We start from the raw sequence: 13,345 nt of genomic DNA on the forward strand, positions 1-13,345 counted from the left end.
TGCCTTCTTCTCAGGGAAAGATTGCATATCTTTTAATGATTCTATTTTAACTTCATTATTGATTTATTAGATATACTTCTTTTAGTTTTTTGTTCTCAGGCTTACAATATGTATCTTTGAATTATCAAATAAGTAGATAAATAAATGGAATGATACCACTTTTCATATATTTTAATAACTTTACAACAGCATGCTTCTATTTATCCTCCTGTTTTTTGCATTATTGTCATAAATTTACTTCCATATGTTATAAACCGCATAATACATTGTTATTAATTTTACTTTAGTCAATTATCCTTTAAAGAAATGAGAAAAGTCTTTAATATTAATTTTCATATTTAACATTTTTGTTGCTCTTCATTATATAGTGGAGATCCATATTTCCATCTGGAATCATTTTTTTCTGTCTAAGATTTCCCTTATTATTTTTGTAACCCATTTATGTGAGTGATGAATTCCTTCAGCTTTTGTTTTTTTGCAAAAATTCTTTTCCACTGCTTGAAAGATGTATTTGCTGGGTATACAATTTTAGGTTGACATTATTTTTATTTCTTACTGCAAAGATGCCACTCCATCATCTTTTGGTTTGTATAGTTTCATCTAATTTTTTTAATGATTTTATCATTTTAATTTTTACATGTAATAAATTTTTTTATCTGCCAGCTTTTAACATTTTCTCTTTGTTATTAGTTGTTTTCAGCAATATGATTATGATGCCTTTTTGTTTTTCTTCATTCTTATTCTGCTTGGGATCTTTAAGTTTCTATTATCTGCAGGCTTATTACTGTCTTCAAATTTTGTCTGTCATTTATATAAATTGGCTATCATTTTTTCAAATATGTTTTCTTTTGTTCTTCCTTTATGAAACTCCAATTATGGAGTTTTGTTTTTTAAAGTTTTAAAGATCTCATTTCATTTTAGGTAATTTCTGTTATTTCTTCAAGTTTACTGTCTTAGTCTGGGATGTTGTAAACAAATATACTATAAATTGGGTAGCTTATAAACAACAGAAATTTATTTCTCACAATTCTGAAGGCTGAGAAGTCTAATATCAAGGCACCAGTAGATTTGATGTCTGGTGAGAACCTGTTCCTTATAGATAGTACCTTCTAAATTCATCGTCACATAATGGAAGGGGTGAGGCAGCTCTCTAGGGCCTCTTTTATAAGGGCTCTAATTTTATCCATGAGAGCTCCATTTTCATGACCTAGTCACCTTCCAAAGTTCCCACCTCTTAATACAATCATCTTGGGGGTTAAGTTTTAACGTATTAATTTTGGGAAAACACAAACATTCAGAGGATAGCATTCTCTATTCTTTTCTACTATAATGTCTAATGTGCAGATAATGTTTAAATTTCATATACATTTATATCTCTAAGGCTTTTTTATGTCTTCCATTCCTTCCTTTGTCACATTTGTATTTTCCTCAACCTTCTTGATTATCTGTAATATGCTTTGAAAAGCACTTTCATTATTTTCCATCTGCTAGTTTTATCATCTCTTTCATTTCTGGATATGTTTCTATTGAGCTATTTTTTCCTCTGGTTATCATATTTTCCTGATTCTTTATATGCCTGCTACTTTTTATATACTAGATATTGTGAATTTTACGTTTTTGGTGGTATTTTGTGCCTTTTTTTAGTAGTGTTCAACTTTTTCCTGGAATGAAATTAAGTTACTTGGAATCTGTAGCTAATTTGTCTCACTGCTGAAGTGACACTCCTATATCTGCTGTTCCATGTATTAGGAGAGCTCTGCAGTTTCATTGGTAGTAGCATAAAATATTCTTAGCCTTGTGTGAGCTCTGGGAATTGTTCTGCCTTATCTTTTTGGTGGCTCTTTTATAGGTCTTGAGTAGCTTCTGCACATGGATGCACAGATTAGTACACAGCCGAAGTCTCAAGGACATCTTTCTGCAAATCTCTGGTATTCTCTCTCTGTGCAGTTTATTTTGCCTTATTAGTTGTAGCTGTTTTTGTAGTCTCAGTCTCTCATCTCTGCCTCCTCAACTAAATGAGACCATCAATCTCTCTTTGAGTTCTAGTTTCCTGTGCCCAAGCCTGGGAACTATCTTCAGTCACTAACACAGAACATTTGTGAAATGTATTACCTTGGTTGCTATCCTTCTCTCATCTTATTCTATGTTGCCTGTTGACCAATATGTGAAAACTGTTGTTTAATATATTTTTGCCCACTTTTCTAGTAATTTAAAATAGGAGATTAAATCTTTTCTCTTTACCAACTTTCTGACAACTACTGCCTGACTTCCCCAGCCCTAAGCTATAACTTCTCAGTATTCTTATTTTTAATTCCAAGACAAAAATAATTATTTATGGTATATAGAATGTCATGCATCCTAGTTGCCTACATTTTTTCAGTCATTATTGCATTTAGAAACTCTATCGTGTCTGTAAGCAGAAGTAATTTGCTATATTTTAACATAAAAAGTTTAAGGATACTAATTTGTTATAACTGGTAACATGTATAATATTGCATTTATTTATAATATTAAGATCAATTCTTTTTGCATGGAAAAATTTCAATGTACTTTAAAAATAATTTTCTGACTTGATACTCATAAAAGCTCTGTGAACCAGATAAATGTAGAAGTGTAATTATCATTATAAAGAAGCTAAGGCCAAGCAAGATTCATTAATTTTTCTCAAAGTCACATATCCTGTAAGTGATAGAGATGAGAATTAAACCCAGATCTGACCAGTATAACAATACTTTTTTTCAGTTTCCAAAGTTTGTCTTACTGGAAGATGTAGAGCTCTATGTGAATTAGCAAAACATCTAGTATGGGTAGAAGTGTTGTTGTTGTTGTGTTTTAACTTGTGTAGTGAAGTGGAAAGAACCATTTTAAGAGTAAGCAGATGGTTTGTAAACAAGATTCAATCTAAATAATACAACATGGAACGTACATAAAACAAGCAAAACAACATTCATATAACTAATGTTTAATAGTTTATGAAGCAAAAAGTACCGACAGAATTGTTCAGCTAGAGGACATATTGTAAATGGAGAAAAATAAGAGTTAATGTATGCCTAATGGTTAAGATAATCAAAATGCCTACTTAGAAGAGCTGTCTTTTTTAAATTTCTCAGGAGATTTAGTTAAGTAATTAATCAAATGGTCTCTTTATCTTTTGAAAGGGGCACAAAATAAAGAGCACAAAAGTAAGAAACATTTAACTTTTTGTATCTCCTCATTTCTAATATAGTGTCAATGCCTTTGATATATGAAGTTAATTTTTATTTTTCTCTCTTTCAGAAGATAATTAATTTGGAGTCTAGTAGTTATAATTTTATTTGAAAAAGGCATCTAATTACATACGTAAGCATCTTTAGCTAGTGACATTTCTTAACCTATCTCCCCCTTGCATAGCAAAAAGGTTTTGTGTGATTCTTCTGTGAAAACATAAGGCCTAGTTTAAAGAGCGGATTGGGTAATCACGACTTACATGATAAAACTGCTGGCAAAATATAATTGCCGATCATCCTTTTTTTGTGGTAAATTGTATGCCTATTATACGAAGACAGTTTATCCATCATAAAGGCAAGGCATCCTTCTTGACTTTACACAAATCACTGCCCAACTTCCCCAACCCTAAGACATTACTTTTCAATAATCCTATGATTGATTTGAAGATAAAAATAATCATGCTTGTTGTGATACATTCTAGTTGTATTTTTTTTCTCTCTTAGAGTTGCATTTGGGAACTGCAATGGGTTGGCTGTGGTGGATTTTATACAGAAGACAGTACTGTTAAGCATGGGGACCATTGACCTATATAGATCAAGTGACTTATACCAGCGACAACCACGGTCTCCTCGAAAAAACAAACAGTTCATTGCAGGTAGGAGATAAAACAAGATGAGTTATGAACTTGATTTGGTCATCTGTGTTCTTATTTTTAGATTTCTTGTCTTTCTTCTCTGATACTATTCAAATGCATGGCAAAATAAAATCAACATAATTTACAAAATCATGTAAGTAAAATAAATTGGGCAGAAACATTGTGAGAATCTTTGAAAGGGTCAGGGGTGTGTATGTTTAAACTTCAATTTGCTATTGAAGTTAGGAAGCATCTCAACTTTCTTAGGTTTAATTCCTAAGAAATAACAGAAAATAAGAAGCTATTAAATGTAAAAATGCTATGAAAATTAGGGCTCTGTAGTTGAAAAAAACTGCTTGCAATGGTTGTGTCAAACAGGTTAACTTTCTTCTAAAATATCTGGTCCCTTTAAAGAGATAATTTTAGGTCATTTACTACTTTTAATTTTTTAAATTAATTCCATATTGTAGCTGACTCCTTTCCTTGTTGGATGATGACCTTCCTGAAGGTATTTTCACAATTCAATAAACATTTTTCATTAACATTTTTAAAGTACTATGACAGATGGCATTTTTCTTGGAAGGATCAATAAATCGATGTATTTAACTATAAAAGAAAATAAACTTAAGGTAATTAGGATTTAATGCCAAACTTTGATATGCCAATTATCCAAAGTTTTACTGAAATTTTAGTATATATCCAAATAGTTGGCTTTATAAACACTGCCAAAGTTTTGCATATTTTCTGTCCATTGACAGTCCAGTTGGTAAAAGAAAATTAGGCCAAAAGGTTGCAGATGAAAATGCTTCTATAATATTAAGTGTTATTTTAGACAGTCCTTTAAAGTCTTCTACTTTGGGCCAGATATGGTGGCTTATGCTTGTAATTCCAGTACTTTGGGAGGCCGAGGTGAGAGGATTTCTTGAGGCCAGTAATTCAAGACCAGTCTACGTAACATAGTGTGACCCCATCTCTAATAATAATAATAATAATAACTTTTTAAATTTTTTAATAAGTAAATAAAATAAAATTTCTACATTGTATTATTTAAAATAATTTATTGAATATTGATGATATTACTAAATATGACCATAGGAAAATATAATAAAAAATAAAAAAGGTACATGATGGTAGGTGTTATTTTCCAAGTGGCAGATATGTCAAATTTAACATCCAAATGTGATAATAAATGAATTTCCTTTTTGGACTAATGAAACTTGTTATACTGAAACTCTTCTTGTTAACCTTTCTTTTGCAAAACTCAATGATTTCTGAATTACCAGTTTAGACCCTTTTGAGGGGCACAAAATTTCTCTTTCAGAAACCAAGGGTTTTTAGTGAGGGATCTCAACTTTTAGCAATATTTTAGGAGAGCTAGAAATTTCAGTTTCTGGAGATTTTGCCTCTATCACTACCAGATTTTGAAAGGAAGACAAAATAACAAGCAACTGTACATTCACATAACGTGAGGTTTCCTCATGATTAGGAAAGACAAGTTTGAAGTTGATGGACTCTAGGATAGAAAGGTGTTAGGGGGCAGTAGGCTATTTATAATTAAAAATTTAGTTCCTCAGTCATAATAACCATATTTCAGGTGTTCAGTTTGCAATGCTAAAAGCACCAATATAATCAGAAAAGCTGTGAATCCTATGACAATATCTAAATCACTTGCTGGATATACACAGTGGGGCAAAAAAAGTACATAATTTGACAAAGGTAATACAATTATTATTTAATTTAAATTAAACTGCTTGAACCTTAACAGTTACTACTAGAGCTTAGAACATTGATGACTTTAAAATCAGGAAAATCTGTGAAGTTATAAACTCAGTTTGTGTTTAGTGTACAAGATGACACAGTGAGAACTCACTTTATATTATAACAATGAAGTATTAAAGACTGAAATCTTTAGCTTTCTTTTTAATTGCTGAAGGATTAAAGACAATCATTTTTTATTAATGAAATAATTTATACATATTAGTTACAAGCCAAAGAAGTGTATTTTGTAAAAACATATAAGGAAAATGTGCCATCTACTTTTATAAGACATTTAAATAAGATAAAAATAAATATTTATAAATATTTTTATATTAAATATTTAAATAAATGTTAAAATTACTACCGCATTCTCATCATTCATCTATCGCCTCTTACTTTATAATTGATTTATTTTATTAATATCTCCTTCTAATTTAATTACCTAATCTTGCTGCAATTTCTTCATCTTGGCTGTTCTAGATTCTGGTATGATATCACTTCCTTTCACTTTAGACTTTTTTTTCTCTTTCTTCTGCCTGCTGCTGATGCTGGTGGTCTGGCATGTTCCAAAGACAACTTTTGCATGCGTGGCCTGTCTAACTTTTATCCTGATTTAACGAAACGGATCCGTACTTCCTATCAGAGTAAGTTATATAAAGGTTAGGCAAATAGCCTTTTTAAGACATAATGCTTGAGTTAAATCCATACATCAGTGCTCAGTAATGTGTTTCTTAAAACACATTCAGCATGCATGCAAATTTTTGTTTTGTTATGGTGTGCAACCTGATAATTTTAATAAACATTATTATAGAAATATTTCAATCCATTTTTGTCCTGTACCCATTCAATCATACCCATTGTTTCAGTGTTTATTTCCAACCATGCAGACCATGTCCTACTATTCCAAGAGTCACTGTCTTTTATTTTGAGGAGGAAGAGCTATGATGCCCTGTAAATAATAAAACTTATTACTGACATGCCAGTATCAGTAATAAGTTAATGCTTTCTTATTTTGGCAACCTTATGCTTTGGCCATTTTATAATACTATTCTAACCAGGGTCACAATATTTGCTTCTTTTAAATAATTATATTCCTTGAAGATAACTAAGTATTCCTGATTTCTGATGATTTTTATTAAAATATACAAACATATTTCTATGGTGATTTAAGGCACTCAGACATTATAAAGTAGGATAATTAAGGTAAAAAGTAAACAAATAAATAATATCAACCTTTACCATGGTATCAAACACAGATCCGAAGATATCTAGAGTAAGCAATTATAAAAACTGGTATAGAAAGGATGAAGAGTGAGAGTGTGTGTGACTGGAGGTACAGATGAGACTAGTGATTTTATCGGTAAATATTTATTGACATAAAAAATGTTTATCATATGTTAATATATTCTGTTAAAAAGCAGGTTGTTTAACAATATATACAAAATGGCCTTATAGTTGTATAACATATACATTATACATTATATACACACACTCACACATATATGTTGTTTGTAACCTGAATTCCTTCAGACCTCACCAGTTCATAGATACTAATGGAATCTTATCAGTAATAAAACCTAAAACTTTACTGGTTTATGCCCTTAGCTTACAAAAGTCAGTCTCTATGAAATCCTTAAAATGTTCCTGGGAATGCCTAGAAGTTGAGTAATTTTTGCTCATAAATATTCTCTAGTTTTCTACTCTAGCAGAGCACCCCCTTTTAGGAATCCTTCCCACTCTCTCTGTTCCTGTTGCTGTGTGCGAGAATATTGGTATCTATGTTGGCTTCTGCTGCTCCTAAAACAGAAGCTTATTTGATACTATGATAACTGTGATATTTCTTGACATCTGAAAATTTTATAAAATTTCAGTTTCTGTAATAAAGTTTTATTGGAACATAGTCCCAATCATTCATTATATATTGTCCTTAAATGCTTTCACACTACAATGGCAGAGTTGAGTAGCTGCAACAGAAACTATATGCCCACAAGGCCTAAAATGTTTACTATCCTGTTCTTTACATTAAAGTTTGCTGATTCCTGCTCTGTGCCATTTTTTCATACCCATCCTCTGCACCACATAAAGGATTTCAGCCAAAACCTTTCTGTAAATAGTCTCAGGGTAGTTTAATACACATATTCAGATTTCAGAATCCCAGTTTAGCCTTCTGAAGGTAGGATCTCCTACATTTGTGTGTGTGCTTGTGTGTGTGTGTGTGTGTGTGTGTGTGTGTGTAGACAGAAAAGTTTCTGGAACATGGCTTTGTGGATTTTACAGACTTCTTTTGGCTTTACAGTATACTCTGATTTTTCTGTAATAAACTTGTAATTATTTTATGCTAAGAAGCTAAATTGGAGACTGAAGGTCAGGAGCAGAAGCGGGCTCTTAGTTCATCAGGATCCTATAATATCAGCCATGATGTAAAGTTTTTAAAAGTTCTGAGAAATCTCAATAATATATTTTCTTATATTCCTTATATTTCCTTCAGAATTTTTTTTCAGCCCATCATTCAGGATCCTCTAAAGTATAATTTCTATCAACAACCTCAAATGGATTTTCTACTATTCTCCTCTTAAGCCAAATTTTTGTATCTTACTACCATTATGTTTTACTCATATTATCCACTCTCTGGAAATGCCCTGCTAAAAGTTTACTTTCTATAGTAAGCCTTTCCTACCACCATCAGAGCCCTGTTGTGCCAATTCCTTTATTTAAATGCTTCCAGTGTCCAGGTTTGTACACAGTACAGGCTTGCCTGAACCATTTAGTTGACATTTAGCCTAGATTCATTTGTATGGCTACTTACTTTTATACTTTTGTTCTGCCTTTCCAAATGCATGACAAGAATCTCAAGACCATATCTAAAATTCTTTATATTCCCTGCATCTAGCACAAGTCACAAGGTCTCTATGTAAATGATGATGTCAGTAGGATAGAGCATGGCAGCAGACTTTATTCTCTCACATGAACTGCCAGAAAACTTTTCAAATCTGACAAATGAGAGAAGAACTAGGTAACAGGTTCACCAGAATTTTGCAAAAGTAATCATAGTTTCTAACTAGAGACCTAACGTTTTAAGTCAGAAGTAAAATCAAGTCTGTTGAAGGACTTAAAGAAATCCCCGTGTCTCTACCAGTGGGCCCCACAAGGGCTCAGACAAGCTCTAGGATTTCAAATCAGATTTCCTAAAAGTCTTCTCTGAATGATTGATATTGTATATTATGAAAAGGGATTGATTCTTTAACCACTCAAAGGCATATCCTACAATTGCTTTTCAAAATACATTTAATGAAAATTTGACTTGAAGTTTAACTATTGGATAATATAATCTGATTATATTTCTATAGTCTCACTTTATTATAGTAGACACTGCTCAGCCTTTTCATTAATTGCTTACTAACTTTCAGAAAAGCATATATGCATTGTTCATATTTGGGGTAATAGAACCCAGTTCCATTGATTATCTATTCTACTCTGCTAGTCAGTTTGACTCAGTGTTATATTATCCACTAGTGATTATAACCCTTTGAGGCAGATTGATATATATTAGTATATTTCTCTACACATGAGAAAATTGAAGTTGAAAAAAATGAAATTAGTCTCTCAAAGCCACACAGAATAAGTGGGACCCAAACTTATGCCTATCTGACACTAAAATTACTCGATAGGCTTTTCACTGTATAATCTTGGATCTCTAAGTGTCTTTTTTAAAGTTTCAGGAACATTGGAAACCAAGTCCGTTATTTTATAATCAGAAAACACCTCAGTTTTTGCACACTCAATGAAATTATATCAATGACTCTTTTACTGGTCACCTTATTCCATAGGTTAGGCTCCAAACAGCTGACCTCCCCAAATTTTTAAATTACCAAGCGGCAAAACTTTCACATCATAGAATAATAAAATTTTGTAGTTGAAAGAAAACTTTCGTGTTCTACAGATTATGATTTTTAGAAGCAGAAAAACGCTTTGAAAAGAACAGCAGACATCTGATCAGAAGATTTACATTGTTTTACCTTTTCCATTTATTAGCTACTTCATACATTTATAATCTTAAACAAGGCATTTAATCACTCTGAGTTTCTTTCTTCTAATATATAAAGTAAAAATTGCAATTTCTACCTCCCTTAGAGAGTTGTAGAACTTTTCTGGGTTAATGTTAATAAAAGTGATTCTATAAATGTTAGTTATTATAATTATTATAAAAGATGAACCAACCCACACCACAGAGAGGTTAAATAACTTCCAGAATCATAAGAAATCTATGGAATACGTAGAACTAAAACTCAGGCTGCTGCCTCATTGCCTAGCAACAGTTCTACTTATGATAATCACATAAATTTTGCTATTTAAAAACTGATATTATGCCATTTGAATCAAGGGAAGTTTGAAAAGTAGGCTTAATGTAGAGAATTGTCTACATTGCTTGTGCATCAATTTCTAGTTATGCAACAAGGGATCCTTTGGAGAGTCCCAGGCCTATTATCCCTTTCTTTTCAAAGGGTAGGGGTATGATAACAGATCCTAAAAACACCTGAAACATAAAGAAGAAATAAAAGAAAAGGGGATGATAAGAGAACTATCCAAGAAAGGCAAATAAGTATTGTAAAACGAACAGAAAGTCAGGAATGGAGAAGTAAACAAAAAATTAAAGAAGAAATGCTTTAAGAAACAAAAATCAGCAAAAATTATGGTAAACAATAAATGGGGAAAACATTCATTCAAATAATATTTTACTGAGCATCTCTTGTGTCAAACATTTTTCTAGGCATTAAGTACATAGTGATGAGTGAAACAATTATGGTCTTTTCCTTTCATTTATAACAGGTAATATACAGATAAATAAAGTCATAGATAATTGAAGAAAGGTGGCAATGCAATAATAGGGAAAAATGAGATAAGGTGGACCTATTTTTGAAAGTGTTGTCAGGGAATGGCCTATCCAACATGGAAACATTTAAGTGAAGTTTTGCAAGATAAATAGTCAAAGCTTTAGATTCTCACTACCAACCAAGATAGAAAGATAGAGTAGCAAGTACCAGATTTAACCTCCTGCCTGAAAACCCCACACCCATTCCCCCAAAATAGACAAAATAAATGAAAACAATGGTTTTTAAGACACGGGGTATCAAACAATGAAAAAAAAAAATGATGGGACAGATGGGAAACCTAACAATCACACGCATTTACTATGGCAAGATAATTTCTAGACTGTAGCAAAGGGAGGGGAAGCCCAGGAGGAAACCACTGAGCTTTTTAGGCTGGGAGATGAAGATGAGAAACCAAAGAAACCAAAGCATCTACAGCTCACAAAAGAATTTCAGAGATCTACAGTGTTTCCTCCTAGAGCAAAGTGCTGATCAACGTATACATATGATGCAGCTATCCAGGAACAGGTAAAGAGCCATCTGAAAGGATTAAAGGAAACAGTGCCCAACACTCAAATAAAGGAAATAGTGCCATTTCCACTACCCTAAATAGAAATAGTTCATAACTCACATCCACTTCTATTTAACATTGTACTGGAAATTTTAGACAATGTTGTCAAGCAAGAATAAGAAATAAAAGTTATCTAGATTTGGAAAGGAAGAAGAAGGTAAATAGTCTTTATTCACAGAACACATGATTGTCTATGAAGAAAACTTAATGAAATCTGCCAAAAACAGCTACTAGAACTAAAAATGTGAGTTTAACAATGTGCAGGATATAAGGTTAATATACAAAATTCCATTGTATTTCTATATGCATACAACAATCTGAATTGAAATTTAAAATTACCATTTACAATATCATCAAAAATAAGAAGTACTTAGCCATAAATGAGACAACAGATACGAAAGACCCACACATTGATGGGCCGGGCGCGGTGGCTCATGCCTGTAATCCCAGCACTTTGGGAGGCTGAGGTGGGTGGATCACGAGGTCAGGGGTTCGAGACCAGCCTGACCAACATGGTGAAACCCCGTCTCCACTAAAAATACAAAAATTAGCTGGGCGTGGTGGCGGGCTCCTGTAATTCCAGAAACTCAGGAGGCTGAGGCAGGAGAATTGCTTGAACCCAGGAGGCAGAGGTTGCAGTGAGCCGAGATCGCGCCACTGCACTCCAGCCTGAGTGACAGAGCGAGACTCCATCTCAAAAAAAAAGAAAGACCCACACATGGAAAACCAGAAAACATTGCTAAGAAAAGTTAAGAAGACTTAAATAAATAGTTACACCAAGTTTATGTCTCACAAAACTCAATTTTATTAAGATGGCAGTTCATTCCAAATCGATTTGTTGTTTCAATGCTAGATCCCAATAAAAATACAGCAGATGTTCTTGTAGGAACTGACAAACTGATTCTAAAGTTCATACAGAAATTCAAAGGATTTAGAGTAGCCAAAACAGCTTTTAAAAAGAAGAATCTGTTCTTGCATTAGTTAGCTTAGAATAATGGCCTCCAGCTCTATTCATGTTGCTGCAAATGACATGATTTCATTCTTTTTTATGGCTGTGTAGTGTTCCATGGTGTACATGTATGACATTTTCTTAATCCAGTCTACTGTTGATGGGCATTTAGACTGATTCCATGTTATTGCCATTGTGAATAGTGCTGCAGTAAACATACGCATGCATGTGTTTTTATGGTAAACCACAAGTTATATTTCTTCGGGTATATACATAATAGTGGGATTGCTGGGTTGAGTGATAATTCTGTTTTAAGTTCTTTGAGAAATTGCCACACTGATTTCCACAATGGCTGAACTAATATACACTCTTACCAACAGTGTATAAGCATTCTCTTTCATCCACAGTCTCTCCAACATCTGTTATTTTTTGACTTTGTAATAATGGACATTCTGACTGGTGTGAGATGGTATCTCATTGTGGTTTTGATTTGCATTTTTCTAATGATTGGAGGTGTTGAGCATTTTTTCATATGCTTGTTGGAATCATGTGTGTCTTCTTTAGAAAGGTGTCTATTTATGTCTTTTGCCTACTTTTTAATAAAATCATTTTTTTTGTTACAAATTTGTTTACATTTCTTACAGATTCTGAGTATTAAACCTTTGTTGGATGCATAATTTGCAAATATTTTCTCCTATCCTGAAGGTTGTCTGTATACTCTGTTGATAGTTTTTATAGCTGTGCTCAAGCTATTTAGTTTGATTAGGTCCTATTTGTCAATTTTTGTTTTTGTTGTAATTGCTTTTGGCATCTTCATCATGAAATCTTTGTCAGGTCCTATGTCACATGGACAAAAAGAAGTGAACAACAGACACTGGGGCCTACTTGAGGGTGGAGTGTGAGAGCGGGGAGAGGATTTTAAAAATACCTACCAGGCACTATACTTATTACTGGGTGACTAAATAATCTGTACACCAAACTCCCACAACATGCAGTTCACCAGCCAAGTATCTGTTCCCCTTCAAGAGACTCCCCCAACACATAAGGACTCACATAAACTTAAGGTAAAGGAGTAGAAAAACATTCCATGCAAATGGACACCAAAAGTGAGCAGGAGTAGCTATTCTTATATCAGACAAAACAGACTTTAAAGCAACAATATTTAAGAAAGACATGAAGGGACATTGTTTAAAGAATGTCCCTTCTTGTTTAAAGAAGACAGGAAGGGACATTAAATATGATAAAAGGACTAGTCCAACGGGAAAATATAACAATTCTAGATTTATATGCATCTAACACAGGATCTCCCAAATTTATGAAACAATTACTACTAGACCTAAGAAATGAGATAAACAACA

At 32.8% G+C, this 13,345-nt stretch overlaps 1 protein-coding gene across 13 annotated transcripts in view; it reads left to right on the forward strand.

The window, feature by feature from the left end:
* STXBP5L (syntaxin binding protein 5L) overlaps window positions 1–13,345 on the forward strand; it is a 516,557-nt gene that overhangs the window by 367,890 nt on the left and 135,322 nt on the right. For 8 of the 13 annotated variants that reach the window (NR_145516.2, XR_924217.3, NM_014980.3 and 5 more), the window contains 2 exons: window positions 3,711–3,862; window positions 6,172–6,243. Coding sequence is in view for 10 of the 13 variants with exons in the window: in NM_014980.3 (NP_055795.1) it covers window positions 3,711–3,862; window positions 6,172–6,243 (224 nt within the window). In the remaining 3 variants the exon portion in view is untranslated. The remainder of the gene's footprint in view (window positions 1–3,710; window positions 3,863–6,171; window positions 6,244–13,345) is intronic. The other 5 variants (XR_001740373.2, NM_001308330.2, XM_011513331.3 and 2 more) reach the window with 1 other exon arrangement.

The sequence above is a fragment of the Homo sapiens genome, chromosome 3, assembly GCF_000001405.40.
Source record: "Homo sapiens chromosome 3, GRCh38.p14 Primary Assembly".
NCBI lineage: Eukaryota > Metazoa > Chordata > Mammalia > Primates > Hominidae > Homo > Homo sapiens.